The sequence below is a fragment of the Homo sapiens genome, chromosome 9 (genome assembly GCF_000001405.40).
Source record: "Homo sapiens chromosome 9, GRCh38.p14 Primary Assembly".
NCBI lineage: Eukaryota > Metazoa > Chordata > Mammalia > Primates > Hominidae > Homo > Homo sapiens.
Window position 1 is genome coordinate 70,392,081 of NC_000009.12, and position 20,775 is coordinate 70,412,855.

Below are 20,775 nucleotides of genomic sequence, written 5' to 3' on the forward strand. Positions count from 1 at the left end.
GGGATGAGGCATGAGAATCGCTTGAACCCGAGGGGCGGAGGTTGTGGTGAGCCAAGATCACGCCACTGCACTCCAGTCTGGGCAACAGAGTGAGACCCTGTCTCAAGTAAATAAACAAATAACAGAGGACTTGAACTTCTAACTGGCCACCAGAATTTGTAAATTCAAATGTCTTCAGGAGCCAGACACAGGTCGGGGACAGGGTGGGAGCAGGTGCATTCAATCATGGATCATAATGGATTCCATGGTGAACTGAACAGGGTGCTTCCCCTACTTAGAGGCATTCAATTTCAACATTATAAATTATGGTGCCACCCAGTGGTGTGTACGCAGGCTGGATTCTGCTTAGGGACCTACAATTTGTAGCCCTTTGAAAAATCTCCCACCTTTTTAATACAGTGGAGAGTTTGGATCTAACATGCCATGATGTTGAATCTAACATCCCAGCATATAAGTTAATGACAGTCATATAATAAGGTATTATTTAGAAAATGATAGATGTTTTGCACTTAAGAAAGCATGGAATGGGGAAGTCACATGTAGACGAGAACAGAATTAAGGCTGAATGGGACCAGAGATGATCTACAGAGGAGGAGAGGACTGGCCTAGAGAGACGGTCACTCCACCTTCGTCTGGCAGCCTGGGGGAAACCAAGTCAGGCCCTCTCTTTGAGGCTCGGTGCTAAGGTCTAAAGGAGAATGGTCAGCCTTCACGCTGAACAAATCACACAGCAATGCAACTATCAATTAGAGAATCTTTAAACCTGTCTTTAGTATTAATGAGAGAGTTACCATCCTCCTGGGGATAGGGAAAAAAATACCCAACACACTTGTACCACTGCATTATTTCTGGCCTTCACAGGAAAACACACCCAGAGGCAGTGACACAATAAACTCCACTTTACTGGAGCAGAGCTGTTAACAGCACAAGTTTCTCTGAGTTCTCATTATTTATATACCACTCCCCGCCCCTTTCAGTAACAAGCTAAGCACCTCTTGCTGACTGACTCAGCTCAGAGTATAAAATAAATGTGATCAAAAAAGCTACTGAACACTGCGCACAATGTGTAAAAGACTTCCTTTGCAGAGACAGTCATCAGGCCTCCAGAATTCTCCTGGGCCTACGGAGGGTGCAAGAACAGTGGACTGGGGCCCCCTGGCTATGTGCTTGCCTACTTAGCACAAAAGGACACTTGCTGCTTTTGAGAGGGAGCCTCCTCGACTGCTGATTAGTTGATGATGCCAAATGAAGCCCATTTTTTTGTGGGCAGTCCTGAAACGAATGGAGGTGAGTTCTCCATAGAGAAGACAGAGACCGGGTACTTGCCAAGTGCCAAGCTTGCTCACTGGACATAGGCAACCCTCCCCAGACTCCCTGAGCTGTCCAGGCTGCCACTGAAGTCCTGCCTGGGGTCAGGGAGGCCTGCCATCTGAATGTCGTCTCTTTCCTACCTGGTTCTTCTCATCTTCCCTGCCCCACCCAAGTCCAGGGATGGGTCTAACTTTAATGGAGACAGGAAAGTCAAAAATACAAAATCAAAAGCTTCCATTGCATCTAGCAAAAGTAAACCAATCTGGTAAAAAACAAATCTAAGGGATTTAGGCCTCCTTTTCAGAACAGAGCTCAAACAGTGCCAATTAAGAATTAAAGTTTCTTGCAGATGTAGAAAATCAAGACTTCTTCTAGAAGAAAAATAATGCTCAGCCGCTCAAGATGGATCACTTGAACACAGAAGTTCAAGACCAGCCTGGGCAATGTGGTGAAACCCCATCTCTACCAAAAATACAACAAATTAGCCAGGCGTAGTGGTGCTTGCCTGTGGTCCCAGATACTTGGGAGGCTGAGGCGGGAAGATTGCTTGAGCCCAAAGGTTGAGGCTGCAGTGAGCTATGATTGTGCCACTGCACTGCAGCCTGGGTGAGAGTGAGACTGAGACCCTGTCTCAAAAAAAAAAAAAAAAAAAAGAGTGGTTTCTGATTGCAAAAACAGCACTAGGATTCCATAGATAAAAGAAGAATTTGGGCTGGCTGTGGTAGCTCACGCCTGTAATCCCAGCACTTTGGGAGGCTGAGATGGGAGGACTGCTTGAGCCCAGGAGATCAAAACCAATCTGGGCAACACAGTAACACCCCAACTCTACAAAAGAAATGTAATTTTAAAAAGGACAATTTGATATTATTAAATCATACTGATATTATTCCCCCATTTAACAGCTCATACACACACACACACACACACATTTAGTATCATTTAATATCATATACACACTCTTATCGTGTACAAAATAGTATATGATAAAATTGAACAACCATCCCTAATAAAAGCTTTCAGGAAAATAAAATAATTCCTCAGCAGTATAAAAGATCAGCTCTGAAACCTTTCCTCTGCAAGGTCAACAGTAAAATAAAGGTAGTATAACTACTAAAGTCTAGCCCAAAGCATAAATGGACACCCGCTCCCATTGCTATAATTTAACATTTTCCAGGAAATACTAATGAGTGCAATTAGATAAAATAAGAAGTAAATGGTGAGAAGAAGGGGGGGTTATAAAATAAGAATTATTTGCAGTTGACACAACTTTCTCTTTGAAAAAATTCAAGATAACTGAAAAATCTAATCTAAATTAAAGGTGCATTCACAGATGTAACTGTACAAAAGAGCACTGGCTTTCTTATATGCCAGCCATAACCAGTCAGAATAAGCCTAACAATAAAAGTTCAGGACCTTGGTGAAGAAATGCATAAAGCCTCAATATAAAAGAAAATGAACAAACAAAATGCTTGCCATGCCTTTGGATGGTAAGGCTCAATGGTGTGAATATGGCAATTCTGTACAAATTCATCTACGGAATTAACACACACCGTAAGAATTTCTTTTTCTAGAACTTGACAAAGTTATTTCTGAAGTTCATTTGGAAGAATAAACATGCCCAACTTGCCAAGAAAATTTTGCGGAAGAACAAATAATAAGTGAGCACTTGCAATACTAGTTATTAAAATGGATTATTAAAGCTGTAATAATTAAGATAGTGAGATAGCAGCACAGGAAAAGACAAATCAGTGGAACAGAGTAGGGTCTGAAAATAACCTTAAGAATCTATAGGGATTCTGTACATGGTAAATGGGGTATTTCAAATCAGTGAAACAGAAAATGTTTAATTCAGTAAGTGGCTTAGATGTCAGGTAAAAGAAAAAAATTAAATCTTAGTCCCTACCTCATACTTTTCACTCAAATGATTTCCAAATGGGCTATAAATGTAAATGTAAAAAATAAAGCCATAACGATAAAATATAGGTGAGCATTTTTAGAATCCTGGAATAGAGACTTTCTAAACATGAAACCAAAAGCAAAATCCTACTTGAAGGATAGTTTTGAATACGTAAAAATGTTAAACTTCTGCATGTTAAAAATATATATAAGTAGAAAAATTTAAGAATCAAAATAAATTAAAAGAAATTGAAGCATATGACAAAATGTTAAAATCTGTAACACAGAAAGGACTTGCAAATCAAAAAGGAACAGCCCAACTTAATAAAAGTGGGCAAGGATGCAAATAAATAATTTATAAAGTAAGAAATACTGGCCAGACGTGGTGGTTCATGCCTGTAATCTCAGCACTTTGGGAAGTCGAGGCAGGCAGATTGCTCGAGCCCAGGAGTTTGAGACCAGCCTGGGTAACATGGCGAAACCTCATCTCTACTAAAAATGCAAATATTATCCAGGCTGTGTGGTGCACACCTACAGTCCCAGCTACTCAGGTGGGAGGATCACTTGAACCAGTGAGACAGAGGTTGCAGTAAGCTGAGATTGTGTCACTGCACTCCAGTCTGGGTAACAGAGCCAGACGCTGCCTCAAAATAAATAAATAAATAAATACATAAATAAAATACTAATGACCAAGAAATAAATACGAAAATATTTAATATTTCATACAAAAATATATTCAATCTCACAAGTAATCAAAACATGCCAATTAAGACACCAGCAAGATATCTGTGAGGCTAGTGAAAACGTTAAAAAATCTGTTCATACCGACCACTGGTGGAGGCATGAGGAAACAGGCCCTCTACCACACTGGTGGGATTTATAATTAATCCAGGGCCATCTGGCAATATTCTCCTGCAGATTATTTTTGGCAATTAATTTGATAATAATTAGATAGAGACATGAAAAGGGATACCAGCATTGCTTATGAGAGCTAAAAGGTGGTAACTTAAATGCTCAAAAATAAAGGGCTGGTTTAATACATAAAGTATATCCTTACAGGGGACTAATATGTACCTGTGAAAAAGGTACCAGACTGTTATATAATGAAATGGAAAGATGTTAGCCATACACTGCTAACTGAGAAGAACAATGTATGATCAGCTGCATAAGTGTGTGAATATATATGGAGAGAAAAAAATCCTGTTGCCCACAAAATATGGGCTGGCTGAGGTGGTTCATGCCTGTAATCCTAACACTTTGGGAGGCTGAGGCAGGAGGACTATTTGAAGTCAGGAGTTCAAGACCAGCTTGGGCAACACAGTAAGACCCCATCTCTACTACAATTTAAAATTAAAAAAATATTAAGTAAAAAGAATATATACAAAATTTGAACAATTACTATCTACCAGTGAGGAGATAAAGAATAACTTCTACTTCCTTTTGTAATTTTTCCCTATGTTTTCTGATTTTTTAAACAGTGAGTATAAATTTCTTTTATGAGAAAAAGTCAGAAAAAGTTATTTTAATATTTTTTAAAAGTCTTACAGAAAACAGCGATACATCTGAGTTTAAACCATTCCACAAATGGCTTGATCAAGAATATATTCCAGGCCAGACATGGTGGTTTATGCCTGTAATCCCAGCACTTTGGAAGGCTGAGGAGGGAGGACTGCTTGAGGCCCAGAGTTCAAGACCAGCATGGGCAACATAGTGAAACCTCATCTCTTAAAAATTTTAAAAGGAATATATTCCATGGGCATGGAAGTGGAGGGCAGTAGGTGATTTACTTTCTATTGAGAAATTACTGGGACACTTCAGTAAGTGATCCATGACCAAAGAGAGAAGAGTCATTTTGTCTTCTTCTCAAACTAATTGTCAGAAAGTCAGAAACTTCCTGGCCCGGTGTGATGGCTCACACTTGTAAACACCTGTAATCCAGCACTTTGGGAGGCCAAGGGGGGTGGATCGCTTGAGGTGAGGAGGTTGAGACCATCCTGGCCAACATGGTGAAACCCTGTCTCTACTAAAAATACAAAAATTAGCCAGGCATGGTGGCACATGCCTGTAATCCCAGCTACTCGGGAGGCTGAGGCAGGAGAATCGCTTGAACCCTGGAGGTGGAGGTTGCAGTGAGCTGAGATTGCACCACTGCACTCCAGCCTGGGTGACAGAGTGAGACTCTGACTAAAAAAAAAAACAAAACGGAGAAAGTCAGAAACTTCCTGAATATACTACATCTGTCTTCTCACTCCTCTATTTCCACCTCTCCTACTTTTTCCATATGTGAAAGGGACATGGCCCTCTTATAAGAACAGACAGGAACCTTCCTTCAGAGGTGGAAATGCACAAACAGTAACAGTAGGGTTGCCCAACAAAGGAGTGTCCTTGTTAGAAAGCAGGTGAGAGGAGTCAGATCATGAAGAAGTGCAAAGATTTGAGTCTAAGAAAGCATTCATGGACCAGACTGGTGGGGAATGCATCCACATAGACCTGCCCTGACCCTAGGCCTCAAGCACCCCATTTGTCCATCACCATCTGGCTTCTCTCCTCACCAAAAAGCAATGTCAACATGCAGGTACGAAACATGAACAGTTGCTTTTTTCCCATTCTCCATTACCCTCATGTGCAGAACCACCAATACACATTACGGAAGAGGTGTGCAGGCCATTCCTGGGTACAGAGAAGTCCACATTTTTCTGCATACATCATTTCAATGAACACTGAACTCAAAAATCATTCATTCAAAAGTCTCCTGTTTATCAGAAATATTGCTTTGCATGTAGATGTTCTGAACGAATAAAAATGTTAAATAGGCTTTGAAAGAATAATCCTGCCTGAATGCCATCCCATCATATTACTACCATTTGCTTCTGACCTCTCACTGAATCCTGCTTGTGATTTGGCTTCCGTTTATATTGTATTTGTTGATACAACAGAGACAGTGTAGGGCTTAGGTGTGAGATTTTACTTCCGGATCTCTGTGTTTATCTGTAGAAAGCAACTTGTCCTATGCTTTAGGTTCTGAAATGAGAAGTGGGTGTGTGTCTCTGACATCTGTATGCAGCACTTCCTCATTTAAGCATGTCAGAGTCTAAGAAGCAAGCATATCCAAATATCGTGCACACATTCCCAACCTCAGCTATCTGTGAGACAGCACATGCAGTTCCAGCAGACCTCAAACAAAAGACAGCAGATAACAGAATTTTTTTTTTTTTTTTTGAGATGGAGTCTTGCTCTGTCACCCAGGTTGGAGTGCAGTGGCACGATCTCGGCTCACTGCAACCTCTGCCTCCCGGGTTCAAGCAATTCTCGTGTCTCAGTCTCCCAAGTAGCTGGGATTACAACAGGCACCTGCCACCATGCCCAGCTAATTTTTGTATTTTTAGTAGAGACAGGTTTTCACCATGTTGGCCAGGCTGGTCTTGAACTCCTGAGCTCAGGTGATCTTCCTGCCTTGGCCTCCCAAAGTGCTGAGATTATAAGGATGAGCCACTGTGCCCAGCTGACAACAGATTCTTGCCTCTTTAGGTTCTTGATTCAGCAAAAACTATACATTTTCTTTTTCTTTTTTTCTGTGAGGCAAGGTCTTGCTCTGTCACCCAGTGACGTGATCTTGGCTCACTGCAGCCTCAACCTCCCAGGCTCAAGTGATCCTCCCACCTCAGCTTCCCAAGTAGCTGGACCACAGGTGCATGCCACCACACCCAACTAATTTTGTTTATTTTTTGTATAGTCAGGGGTCTTACTATGTAGTCCAGGCTGGTCTCAAACTCCTGGGCTCAAGTGATCCTCCTGTCTCAGCCTCCCAAAGTGCTGGGATTACAGCCGTGAGACACTGCACCTGGCCAAGAGCTGTCTTGAAGTCTCAGTTATATGGCCCTGCCTGAAAACTAAAAATAGTGCAGAGGCAAAATGTGGACCCTAAACATAAATTTTTAACACAATGAAGATCTGCCTCTTGGTGTAGTGTGATAAAAGATCATAAAAGTCAGAGTAACAGAATTTAGAGGTGGATGAAATCTTAGGGATCCTCCAAAGGCCCAGAAAGATGATGCAACCTCCCCACAACCACATAGCTAGCCCTTCAAAGACCAGACCCTGGCCCAGACTAGGTAATTCCTGCCATCCCAGACTATGCTGCCTTTGTTCAGCTATTTGTGGGAAACATAGATAATAAATATCTACCTAGGCATTAAATATTGAACAAGATATAAATGCCTAATGGCAAAGCTATCCCAAGAACAGATTCTTTGAATCTTTGCAATTTTGGTGATTTTTATCACCATGGAATTCAAACCTGTCATGTTTTAGATGAAGCCAACTCAGAGGGCAGATGACGTGCCCAAGGACGCCCTGCACAATAGTGTGTGACCAGATTAAAACCAGGTTTCAAATTGCTCCTTCAGTTTTATGCACAAAATGAGATTAGATGTGAAAGAAGAGCCTGGACTCAAACTAAAAGCACAGAGACTGACCTTTCACAGTGCCTTTTTTTCCAATTCTCTGCCTTCCAGGCCCTTCCTTCCAAATGCATTGCCTCAGGGGGATCAGACATAGTTTAGGATAAATAAGTTGCCACTGAGCTTTAATTTTCAAAGTAGCATTTAGAAAACCTAAGTCCTTGAGCTTAAAAAAACTCTCAATTTGCCAGATCTTCCAACCAAGACATGAGGGGCAGAAAAAGAGAAAGAGCTGGTAGGACTGTATTAGAGACACAGAGGTCTCTAAGAAATATCCAGGTCTTTATTCTCCTTGTAGAGACAGCCTTCGAGACATGCCTAGAGGAAGTGCCTTATACAAATAAGGTCCTCTTGGAAGCCCCACACAGGCCATAACACCTGAGGAGTTGGGGAGCTACAGCTGAGAGGGGTCTCAGTGTGCGCACCCTTCTAAAGTGCAGGGTGGGGAAAAGGACTGTGTTCCTGAGCCCAAAACTGTGCTGTTGGAGAAATCCACAGGAGGACTGGGTCACAGTGCAAGGATCTAACACCCAGAGCCACTGATGTCAGCCTGTGAGGATGGGGACACAGGCAAGTGCATGACAGACGTCTCAGTGGACATCACCACAAGGTCAAAGGACAGCATGCAACATGGATGGCTCTCCCACGAGGCTGAAACAAGAGATGAGCCCCATGCCCACCAAACAGAAGATCACTCCCAGGGAAAGGAAAGGCAAGGGACCCCGAATTAGAGAGAGAACCCTGATTTTGCAAACATTTAGCCAAAAGAGAATACAATTTAATGCAGAAGTAACTGAGACCCTGAAATGCCAAGAAAAAGATTGTCCCCCAGCAGCAGAAATGGAGAGACTGATGCCTGATTAGTCAACACGTACTCTACCTGCTAGGCTGTGGCATTCATAAGGACTCATGGTGAAAAGTGATGCCACTCCAGCAAGTGTTTCCATCCAGGTTTTTCCCTCTGGGCTCAACCTCTGCACACTGTATGCACACCACAGTATGGCTGCAGTGGCCATAAATCCTACTCATACATGCCACATGGGCCACCAGCAGCTTTTCAAGCTTTTAACCCTTCTACTCTTGGGATGGAGTGAGCCACTAAGTCACATGGCTTGATGTTTGGCACCAAAGACCACAAAGAACTGCAGGTCAGAGCTGTCCACCCTTCACAAAACAGTCCCCACTCAACCCTCCCCCTGAGATCTCAGAAAAGGAATATAGTCCCCTCTTTGGGCATGTATTTCTAGAGGGTGTTTTGAAATTTAGGAGCAAGCAGGGCTTTGGGAAGAAATGCCTCGGGTTAGGCTGGGTGTTAGTGACTCATTCCTGTAATCCCAACAGTTTGGGAGACTGGAGCAGGAGGATCACTTGAGGCCAGGAGTTCGAGACCAGCCTGAGCAATATAGCGAGATCCCATCTCCAAAAAAAAAAAAAAAAAAAAATTTTTTAAATTAGCTGGGCATGGTGGTGCGTGCCTGTGGTCCCAGCTATTCAGGAGACCTAGGTGAGAGACTGCTTGAGCCAAGGAGCATGAGGATGCAATAAGCCGTGATTGCACCACTGCACTCCAGCCTGGGTGACAGAGTGAGACCCCATCTCAGGAAAACCAGCCTGGCCAACATAGTGAAGCCCTGTCTCTACTAAAAATACAAAAATTAGCTGGGTGCGGTGGCTCATGCCTGTAATCCAGCACTTTGGAAGGCCGAGGCCGGTGAATCACTTCAGGTCAGAAGTTCGAGACCATCCTGGCCAACATGGTGAAACCCTATCAACTACTAAAAATACACAAATTAGCTGGGTGTGGTGGCGGGCACCTGTAATCCCAGCTACTTAGGAGGCTGAGGCAGGAGAATCACATGAACCTGGGAGGCAGAGGGTGCAGTGAGCTGAGATCGCACCACTGCACTCTAGTCTGGGCAACAGAGCAAGACTCCTTCACAAAAAAAAAAAAAAAAAAAGAAAAGAAAAGAAAAGAAAAAAAATTAGGCTGGCTGCAGTGGCTCACGCCTGTAATCCCAGCACTTTGGGAGGCCAAGGTGGGTGGATCACATGAGGCCAGGAGTTTGAGACCAGCCTGGCCAACATGGTAAAACCCCGTCTCTACTAAAAGTACAAAAATGAGCTGGGTGTAGTGGCATGTCCCTGTAGTCCCAGCTACTCAGGAGGCTGAGGCAGGAGAATTGCTTGAATCTAGGAGGCGGAGGTTGCAGTGAGCGAGATCATGCCACTGCACTCCAGCCTGGGCAACAGAGCGAGACTGTCTCAAAAAAAATAAATAAATAAAAATAAAATAAAATAAAATCAATTAGAAAAGAAAAAGAAAAAGAAATGCCTCAGGTTAGAGAAAATAGCCTATGTTTTTCACACTGGGAACCCCCCGCTTCAGTGGGATAATGCTCACTGAACAAGCATTTTGGGGCTGGCCATGAGTATGGATTACAATACGAGAGAAAGCCAGCTGTTTGGTTGTCATTCTGCTTATTTTCCTTAAAATGGTAATGGTACAAAACTACTGTAGAATTACAGAGCACAGGGAGTTAAGTCACTTTTATGTGTTTTTGTTAAGTTGTTTTTAAGCTCTACTTTTTGCCTCTTATGATTTATTACAGTGTTTTTCTTGGGCATTGTGCACACTGAATACACTTCTGAATCCCAGTGGGAACTGCCATATAAACAGCTCGTCTTTGCATAGACTAGGCTTTTACCTATTAGCATATAGGGTAATAAATGTTCCTGTAAACATGATTTGTTTCTCTGGACATTAAAATGGACAGACTGGAATTAAAACCAAGTCAATGGCTTTGAAGTTCACCCTGCTGCTGTTATACTTGTTCCATGTGAGGCTTTTATTATTGGCTTCTAGAACATCCACTCAGGAGGGCCAGTGGGTGTTTGCCTAAGCGTATGTAATACCTGTCAAAATCATCTATCTTCTGCAAAGACCCTTCTGTACATTCACTTATGGCCTATCTTTCGGGTTGAACTCCAGAGATAGTTCGGAGCTCCTTCCCACCAAAAGGAAGAAAAATATATAGAAAAAAAAATATCGTACTGTTTGCCTCTCATTTTGTCAAACTCTGTTCTTTGGAAAATCCTGTTGGTAGTTATAAATGGGATGATAGCCGGGCATGGTGGCTCACACATGTAATCCCAACACTTTGAGAGGCCGAGGCGGGTGGATCACCTGAGGTCAGGAGTTCAAGACAAGCCTGACCAACCTGGTGAAAACCCATCTCTACTAAAAATACAAAAATTAGCCTGGCATGGTGGGGTGTGGCTGTAATCCCAGCTATTCGGGAGGCTGAGGCACCAGAATGGCTTAAACCAGGGAGGTGGAGGTTGCAGTGAGCCGAGATTGTGCTGCTGCACTCCAGCCTGGGCAGCAGGGCGAGACTTTGTCTCAAAAAAATACAAATAAAAATAAATAACTAACTAAATGGGATGACAGAGAGAATGGGTGTTGGTTTTGCCTGTCTGGCATTTGTTCCCTTCTGGATAATAAATAACACATTAAATTTCCTTTTGGCAACAACTCCTTCCCCATTCTGGATATATGTAGTTCCAGGGAGGGTGACCCCACACCTCCAGACCCAGAGATTGGATGTGACCCAGTCGTGCCACAGTGATTCATTTCAGGGATGGGGCACACAATCTGAACTAGTCATGGAGCTTAAAGCCTGGAACTTTTGCTGGAATCTTTGGGAATGGAAAACTGTCTTTCCTTGGGGTTTGCTTAAGTGGCAGGATATGAGTCTGGAACTGCGGGCAGCCATCTCACCACTATTTGGAGACAGCCCCCACCAACCCCATGAATGAGGCTGTAGCAAAAGGCAGCAAAACTGAGCCATGGAGAGGCAGAAACTGAGTGCCTGTATCCACAGACACCGAAATGAGAGCTACCCCTAGATGTGTTTGTAACCTGAACCAATAAAGTTTCATTTTTTTTATTAAGCCAGTCCCTGTTTGGATTCTGTTGTCCTGACTAATACAGCTTTGGGCCCACAACCAGGTTATTTTTCAATGGGAAGGAAGCAGCTTCTGGATAACTATGGAAAATACAGAGTAGGTATGGTCAGAGTCCAAGATTTCTGCTGACACTCCTAACCGAGGTTCATGAAAACCAACCATAAGCCAGAGTCAGAACAACAAGAGTAGACAGCTGAAGACTGGTGGCTCTGGGACCAAACCCAAGAGAACCACGTAAAACACAGGGTCTCTTCCCACTGGCGGAAACTCAAGGGGTCCAGATCAGCAAGCATTCATGCCCAACTCCACCCACCTAGAGACAGACTAGGAAAATTCCAGTGTAACCTTGAACTACGTTAACTAACTCCCAGTCTGATTCCTCCTATTAAATGAGAAGAACAGCACCTTTCTATCTCACAGGATTGCTGTGAGTTTAAATGTGACAATGCATGTAAACCATTTAGCTTGGAACCTGACATATAATAAATGTTAGAAATTGTCATTATTATCACTATTAGCCACAAAATCCAAAGTGCCTGGTACCAGCATTTTACACAGCTTTTTGCATGTAAGTCACTCAATAAATAATTTAAGTGAATGAGATGGCTGGGTGCAGTGGCTCATGCCTGTAATCCTAACACTCTGGGAGGCTGAGGCAGGCAAATGGTTTGAGCTCAGGAGTTTGAGACCAGCCTGGGCAACATAGTGAAACCCAGCCTCTACAAAAAATGGTGTGCATCTGTGGTCCCAGTTACTTGGGAGGCTGAGGTGGGAGGATTGCTTGAGTAGGGGGTAGGGGGAAGTAGGCGGGGAGAGTGCAGAGGTTGCAGTGAGCCAAGATCCTTCATGCCACTGCACTCCAGCCTCGGTGACAGAGTGAGACTCAGTCTCAAAATCATAATAATAATAATAATAAATAATTGAAGTGAATGAGGCAGTGCTGGACTAATCTGGAATTCTAAACAAAAATTCTAGGAATCAAGGGCTTCTGGAACACACACATAAATTCTTTATTTTTAATTATAATGGTGTGCTAAATGATTTAAACACCTCATCTGAATTAAGCTTCATAACAACTTCATAAATATATAATTACTGAGCTCCATTTTACAGATGAGAAACCTGAGGCTCAGAGAAGGTAAGTAGAGCCTGAGTTGTCATAAATAGAATGGTGGAGACAGGATTCAAAAACCCATGTCAGAAGGACCCAAAAGCCTGTGCTCTGACGACTCTATCTACTGTCTCTGTACTGAAGGTAAAGGCCCCCTCACATTCCAGTTCCTCAGTTTGACTGTTCAATATGAAATAGGTCAGGCCTTACTCTTCATTTCTAACTGCCTGTCTTATGAAAGCTAGCTCTCTGGAAGACAGAGATGGTGAAACATTTTCTTCTCCCTCTATTTCTTTGGGCCAAGATGATCTGTAATTTTGCTCCCGGTTCTAAAATGTCCAAAACTCCCAAGAGAGACTTTTGTGTTTTTGACCATTGCCTATTCCACTGGTTCCCACTTTGGTTCAAGTCAGGCCCTTTGGGAGATACTCCCTTCCACAAGGACGGAGGCTCAGCTTGGAAAAATGTTCAAACTTCATTGAATACATAACACCACTGACTGCATTTCAAATCCTTGTCACTAATTTTGTATGGCTTAAGCTCCCGTCTCTTACTTTAATCTATTTAAATAAATGTCCTCACTTTTTAAAAAGACTCAATCTGGCCAGTTAAGGATTGGCCTTTCTCCTGTTCAAATTCTCCTAGATTCCTTTCTCCTGTTCAAATTTGTGATCATTCTCAGTTTCATTAAAAAATAAACAAATTCAAAGGCCCAGCAGCAGCAGCTCTGGCTTAGATCGTGAGCAAACTGGTTCTCTCAGCTCTAGAACCTTTAGATTTCAGATCCAGGTTCTTCAATTCTCATCTCAGGATTCCAAAGTCAATTATACCACACTAGAAACTGAGATTAAAAGAGAAGGCTTCGGGCACACCATCAAAAAGGCTTTGGACACACATGGCAATGAATGGCCTTGGAAGGTCCCATGTATTTAAAAAAAAAATGGGTGCTTCTCACTCCCTCAGGGGGGATCACATTCTTATGAATAATAATGTTAGTCCTATTATTTGCTGAGGGGACTGCTTGACACTGGGATAAAACAAATGTTTACTCGTGGCCTTAATGCATCAAAAAGGTATTAAAGTTTCAGGACGATTCCAGGTAGGGAGTGGTAGGAAACCTCTCAGCAGCTCTGCCTTGGGCTGTTAAAGAGAGTGCTGCTCCCATAAAAAGGGCATAGGCCACCCCAGCTCACTCCACCTCTGCCCTTTCACTTGGTTAATTCCATGAAGCAGCCCTTTAAACTAAGGTGAAAAAGAAAAATGTTAACCATAGACTGAAGTCCCAGGAGAGCAAGTGGGGGGAAAGAATTCAAATGAAAGTACTGCAAAGAATTCAAAATGAAGGAAAAATTCCTAGGCACCCGCAGAGCCAAGCTTGAAGCTAGGGGCTTTAGCATTTTCTGCTGACAAATGCTTCCAACTACCTAGTACCCTCATGAGCTGGTGAGGCTCTGGGAGATTACACAGTATGACCACTCACATGCTAGTCAAGGCAGATAGGCAGCTTTTGAAACCTGGTGGTGTGCTTCAAAGCCCTTCAAGTCCCCCCAAAACATTTCAAGAGAACAATCCCCATCTCTCTGAGAAAGGGTGGGGATGTGCTTTCTTAAAGACAAAATGATGGATGTGATGACCTCCCAAGGTCACTTCCAACCTCCAAGTGCTATTCTTTTGATACTAACAACTGCTGCCACCAAGTGCTCTGAGTTAGGCCTAGGCCTGTGACTAACTTTCAACAAAAAGTGGGGCGGAGAAAGAGAGCCAGGATTGCTCAAAGACCACTGAAAGAGGATCTCACTTCTTTCCCTTTTTAACCATCTGTGGGGTTTTTTTCTTCGTCTTCCTTTTGCCCCTCCTTTCTGCGTGTGTTGCATAGAAACAGAAAGTGCCTTTGTACCAATTACTAGGCACTAATTTACGCTCTTCAGTGGGCGCTGGGCTTGCTGGAGAAACATTAGGAAAAGGTGGGAGGGTCGGATGTGGGGGAGGATTCTAGCAGTGGAGGAAGGAATGGCATGCTACAAGCTTTTTCTCCAAGCCTGAGAACAGCCAAAGGGAAAGAGAGAGAGAGAGAGAAAAAAAAAAAAAGAACACGGAAGATTTGGAAGTCAAGACTAACAAATGCGACAAAGCTTTTTTTTTTTTTAATGAAGAATGCTAATGATCATAAGGCATTCAGAAATCAAACTGATGGGATAGAAAGCAGGCTCCAACTAGAGCATGTCAGATTGTTTTAGGGGCTTCTGAAAGAGTGAAGACTGGGAAATCATCCGCCCACTTTTCTTCTCAATGAACTTACTAAGGAAAACCATTGTCAGCCATTTTCCCAATATGTCATATGATGTTTCTCCCTGGGAAGTTCAATCTGGGAATTTCCCACAGATGTTGCAGAATGACTAGTCCTTGGGATAAGCGTCAACAATTGAGACAGGAATGTAAATCTGACCCTCATGTTCAGAATCCAAGAATTCATTTCCCTGAATCCAAGAATTCATTTCCCTCAGCTTACATCTTTGTGTCTGAAGGTAATGGGGTGTCACCATCCAAGTGGCACTGTATTTACTCTGGTACCTCCCTCTCTCACCCAGGAACCCACTTATACCCCTCCCCTCTCTCTTCTCACCACGCACAGAAGATGTGAGAGGAAAATCAAGGGAAACAGTGTGCGTACTCTGTAATTTGACTCCACTTATGTTTTCTATCGTGAAACTGTAATCTTGCCAGCAGAAGATTCTCAGAGGCCCCCCGACTGTCTTTGCTAGGGCAGATAGATGGAGGATGACACAGGACAAATGGGAAATGAGGAAAGAAAGGCAACTGGGTGGCTCCTACCTTGTGACTAGCAATAAGAGCTATAGGGTCCTAACAGCCTCCAGCCCCAGGGTCAGATTTCTGCAGAGAGCTTGGGCTGGGGGCTGAAGAACAGTCTGGGCATCTTTCACTTGATTCAAGGGAGTTTTACCCTCTTGTCTAAAACCCAGAAACAAACCCTATAGCAAACCCTTGCAGCCTTAGAAACCCATCCTCTATAGCTAGAAGCCATGTGTATGCAGCCTTTTGCATAGATTGTTATTCTTCCCTAACAGGATACTTGATATCACTCCTATTGCTGAGTGGGGTGAGGCAGTATCATCTCCCAGGGGGCAAAAATTGGTTCTGTGACAGGTGAAAAAAGTCTTAGCTATTACAACGATTTGTCGCCTTCGGAATGGGGCATAGTCCATAAACAGCTCAAGTGTATCTGTGGAATTAAAATGTAATGGGGGAGGCCAGGCGCAGTGGCTCACACCTGTAATCCCAGAACTTTGTGAGGCCGAGGTGAGCAGATCACTTGAAGTCAGGAGTTCGAGACTAGCCCGGCCAACATGGTGAAACCCTGTCTCTACTAAAAATGCAAAAAATTAGCCGAGTGTGGTGGCACACACCCATAATCCCAGCTACTCTGGAGGCTGAGGCAGGAGGATCAGTAATGGAGGGGACAATTATGGAAAAAGGGTAGAGAAACAGTTACCTGTGCAAGCCCCACTCAGGCCTAGTTGTACATCTATGTTGGATGAAGCAAGTTGGGTTATGAAATGCCATTCCACATCACTCTGGGGAGCCCTCTGGAAAGAAGAATGGGGTAGAGAGAATGTGTCCCTAAGGATCCAGGTACAGGGCTTCCGTTCCACTCATGAAGAGAAGAGATGGTGGTAAGGGCTGGGCAGGGCCTACTTAATGGGCAGCCCAGTGAGCTAAGGCCCCTTAGTCTAGGGCAAGGCCTTGCTCTGTCCCTAAGGCCCCACCTCCCAGGCAATGAAGTGAGTTTTTCCTGATACCTCCGATGACATCAGACTCTCCTTGACCAAACAGTTGACTCCAAAACCTTTTACAGTAATTAAGGGAGAAGAGTGCAAGAAGCTCAGGGCAACCTCATGCCTTTAAGCAAAATTCCCACCTAAGTTAGAGTTGGCTAGTGATGGACATTCCTAGAGGGACCAAAAAAATCTGTTTTCCATATTGGAGGACAACTTCTACTACAGAGGCTATCCAGGTCCCTCACACCAAGTATGCCAAGGATCCCAAGAATGTGTTCGAAGAGGCTAAGGAGCAGAAGCCGCCACTCCGGGCTTTTGTAGCCCCCACCTCTCCTGGTTTTTTATGTGAGCCTCCTTTTGCACTATATATATATATGTGTATATATATATACACATATATGTATATATATATATGTGTATATATATATACATATATGTGTATATATATGTGTATATATATACACATATATGTATATATATGTGTATATATATACATATATGTATATATGTATACATATATATGTATATGTATATATATACACATATATGTATATATATGTATACATATACATGTATATGTATATATATATACATATATGTATATATATATACTGAAAAATATTTTTTCATAGAACTGGGGTGTCATGGTTGGAATTTGGGGTTTTCTGATCTTCAGAATCCTATAACCAGTGTTATCAAACTCAACCCATTGTCACCACTTGGCGATAGCTGACTTAAGCCCCTCCAAAAAGAGAATAAGATGGCACCTGGCACAGAAACAAGGCCTAAGGTTTCTGTCATCCAGATATCAACCCAGCATGATTCAACATCAGCCTGTTCTGATGACTTCCGAGCTGGAATTAGAATGTAGTTGTTTCCTTATAACACTGCCTTTACCACCCGCCCCCCAAAATCTGCCCATACTCTATGTGAAAGGTATCCACAAAGTCAGGAGACTTAGGATAAACTTCATGTTAATTACATTTTCAAATAATATGCTTGATATATTTTCATATAAAATACTCTAATAGTTCTAAAATTAATCTGAAACAGTACAAATAAATACATCATAAAGTGTCCAAAAAGTCTGGAAACAGGAAAAATAGTATATTTGTTGCATCTTTTGTTTTCTTTAGATTAACAATGGATCCACTGCTTAAACTTTAGAGGTATGTCACCTGAAAAGATCTGGTCTGGTTGAAGAAAAACAAACTGAACATACTATTTGAAAATGTAAATTAACATACTGCTTAAAAATAAGTTTATCCAGTGTTTCCTGATTTTTAAGGTGACGTTCTGTACATTATACACAAACCACAGGACCCAGCATTTCTCAAGGGGTTACTGTGTGTGGAACCCTACCAAGTGCTTTATAGATGTTATCTTTGCACAAGAACCTGTGACTTGAGGATAGTAGCCCTACCTTGTGGATTAAGAAAGTGAGGCTTAAACAAAGCAGAGGTTGCAAACTTAAATGCCAAAAGAGATCCTGTAAATGATTAAAATACGAGGTACTGCCCCATATCATGATCAGTTCAAGCCAATTGTTGCTAGGCAAGAATTCAGGCCCAGTTTTGCCAGATCTTTTGATTTTTCCAGACAAGCCAGAAATCTGGATTCATGCTATAATCCTCTGATTTTTAGATGTTGGTAACTAATTAAATTTTTATAAACCCTGTGTTGGCCAAGCCAAACAAATCTGCAAAGCAAATTCAGCAGCAAGCCTCCAGTTTGCAAACTCTGAATTAAAGTAACTTCCTTATGGTCTCAAATGAGAAAACAATAGGACAAATCAGAACCCAGCTTAGCTGGCCTCAACTGTGTCGTTCCTCCCAGCACACTACAGAAGTAGCAGCACTGAATTAGAAGAAAATCTGTTTGAATGATTCAACTTCTAAAGCTGGTGTAGAAGTGGTCTATGAAGTGGCAGCTGTATGTGTCTCTATAAGGAAGTGAGCAAGCTGGAGGGTTTCTTGAGGGAATGTTAGCAGCACTAAGCAAGGGGGTGTGGCAGGGAGTTTAGCTCCTAAAATCTTCACAGAATGCAGACATTCCAAATGCCATCTCTGCCCACCTTCTTGATTTAACACCAGCAGAAAGAAAATTAGAAAAGCTCCTTACCCTACCCTAAAGTCAATTTAAATTGAAGTTGTATCTGAAACTTCCAAATGCATGAGACCTCCAAGTCTCTTATTTAAAGTAACCTTAACACATACCTCCTCTAGCAGGAATACACTTCCGACAATATTAACCCAGGCTGAGGTTTTGTTCAACCATGCACTAAGATTAGAGATCCCCAAAACATAGGCACCTGCAATCACCACATCCCTAGGTTCAAAGCACTGACTGTAGCACTTAAAGCTGAATGAACATCTCACTTCGTTTTCCACTCCTGACTGGGAAAAAGGTTCTCCTGAAACAGCTGAGCCGAATGACTTGCCTTATGGAGAATTAAGGAGCAGCACGCATGCACGCACACAGAAGCAGCCATTTCTATAAATGCCTGAGAAAAATCACTCAGCCGAATGGCCCAGAACGCTGGAAACCCTATTCCTGAGTCGGACAGACTCTGGCAGCTCACAGAGGAACTGCAGGCCTCCCTGGCTGCACGACTGGGCAGCTCCCTGAAGGAGAAAATGCCTTTGCTCAAGGTGGCAGTGGGTGTCGATGGGAACAACTGAACTCCGGGAACATGGCTGACACAGCCAGGCCCGCCCAACAGCTGTTGGTGAGTAACACCCTCCAGTTAATATACCCCTACTTCACCCCCAGAGCCACACTAAAGGTCACATCCCCCAACACAGGCACATGCCTTTCAGCAACCTTACAGATACAAGCCTTAAAATGTGCTGTTTTATGGCAACCTAAATGATGACCCCAAACAGAACCTGATTTTGCATTAACCATGGAGGAAATTCAGTCTGATTCCGGTGCCAGCAGCCACCTCCACAAGAACAAGTTTCCAAAGGAAATGGAATGAGAAGCAGTTACGTGGCCTTTCTTTTAAAAAGGAAAGCAAAACAAAACAAAAAACCCCAATCAAGTATCATTTTTTTCCATGTATCATTTTTAAACCACAGGCCCAAGACCTCATCTTAAAAGTATCGAGGTATTACACCAAAAAATGACAACACTTTTCCAACTAACTCCAACAATACCCTCTCAAACACGGTGTCACAAGACAGAGGCAAAAGGCTTATCTGAGAGGACCAAGCCCCGCTACCTCTGAATGGCGCTTGTAAAAGAACCATTCCGAAGATGGTCAAGACAGCATGTCCAAATGTGAATGCTTTCCAACTTTTACCGTTCATGTTAAACACAACCAACAGAATTGGATGACCCAGGTCCCTGGAAGTCTCCAAAGCCCATTTTAAAAGGCAGATAGATGTCTTTCTGGCCACATTCATTTGTACGGCCATGCCTCTCACCCTCCCTGGGAGGAACTATTCCCTGAGGCCTCCAGAACCGCCCAACATTCATTACCAAGCCTTGACCTCCGGCAAGGACCACACCTCCCTGCAAACCGCGATTCAGGGGTGGAGGGTGCGACCTAAGTCACATGGCCAAAAAAAAAAAAAAAAAAAAAAAAAAAAGTCAGCTCTGAAACCTGGCTCATCAGGAGGACTCATGAGTGAAGTTAACCACCATTACTTGATCAGACTCCTATGCTGCCTGAAGCCGGGTTATTTTAAACCTCTCGGGGGACTCCCAGCCAAATTTAAAACCACCTTGGCAAGCCCAAAAAAGTAGCAGGCATCCAGTTAAATGAGTCCTTAGTCATCCCTAAAAGGCTCGAAGTAAAGTGCGCCGCGTCCCCCCTCGGTTTCAACCACTTCTCTGCAACCCGACAAGAGAATTAAATAAAAGATACGCCATCTGACTTCCCCGCTGCCAGCGTCTCCCAGGTGGGGTGGCCCCACCGTCGCGGGGTGCGGGAGAGTCCCGGGGGCGGGGCGGGACAGGGGAGGGGCGGACACCACTCCCCGCGAAGCCACGCACCGCACTCGCTCTGCCCGCCAGTTTAAGGCTCTCCGTGGCTCCCGGAGGCCGGGGACAATTAAGGAGAGAGTGAGCTTTCCGCCAATGCACATTTAAATTATTTAAAGAGTTAAACCGCATCTTATCCAACATGTTTGCACCCTTTCGGCCGAGTGCAGTGTCCCGAACGCCCAGGAACGCTGCCTGGCCAAAGGTTAACTAACCCCAGAGCTCCGGGGGAGAGGGCGACGCCGCT

General features: G+C 43.3%; 1 protein-coding gene and 1 long non-coding RNA gene across 2 annotated transcripts in view, besides 4 other annotated features; both read right to left on the bottom strand.

Moving 5' to 3' along the window:
- The window catches only part of KLF9 (KLF transcription factor 9), a 30,054-nt gene that overhangs the window by 7,477 nt on the left and 1,802 nt on the right, over positions 1–20,775 (bottom strand). The window lies entirely within an intron of this gene.
- Positions 977–20,726, bottom strand: LOC124900273 (uncharacterized). The gene is made up of 2 exons (XR_007061576.1): positions 20,270–20,726; positions 977–16,349 (listed from the first exon to the last, which is right to left on the bottom strand). It is a non-coding gene; the product is annotated as an uncharacterized LOC124900273 (long non-coding RNA).
- Positions 6,082–6,384: an enhancer, noted in NCBI's record as "KLF9-II DHS fragment used in reporter constructs". NCBI's record gives its function as "activates the minP and KLF9 promoters by reporter assays in K562 erythroleukemia cells {active_cell/tissue: K562}" and the evidence as "EXISTENCE:reporter gene assay evidence [ECO:0000049][PMID:23985037]".
- Positions 6,335–6,384: a silencer, noted in NCBI's record as "silent region_19939". NCBI's record gives its function as "represses an Ori minimal core promoter by ATAC-STARR-seq in GM12878 lymphoblastoid cells {active_cell/tissue: GM12878}" and the evidence as "EXISTENCE:reporter gene assay evidence [ECO:0000049][PMID:35858748]".
- Positions 20,342–20,534: a silencer, noted in NCBI's record as "fragment chr9:73027338-73027530 (GRCh37/hg19 assembly coordinates)". NCBI's record gives its function as "represses an EF-1alpha promoter that drives an FKBP-Casp9 reporter gene in an ReSE screen in K562 erythroleukemia cells {active_cell/tissue: K562}" and the evidence as "EXISTENCE:reporter gene assay evidence [ECO:0000049][PMID:32094911]".
- Positions 20,610–20,719: an enhancer, noted in NCBI's record as "active region_28451". NCBI's record gives its function as "activates an Ori minimal core promoter by ATAC-STARR-seq in GM12878 lymphoblastoid cells {active_cell/tissue: GM12878}" and the evidence as "EXISTENCE:reporter gene assay evidence [ECO:0000049][PMID:35858748]".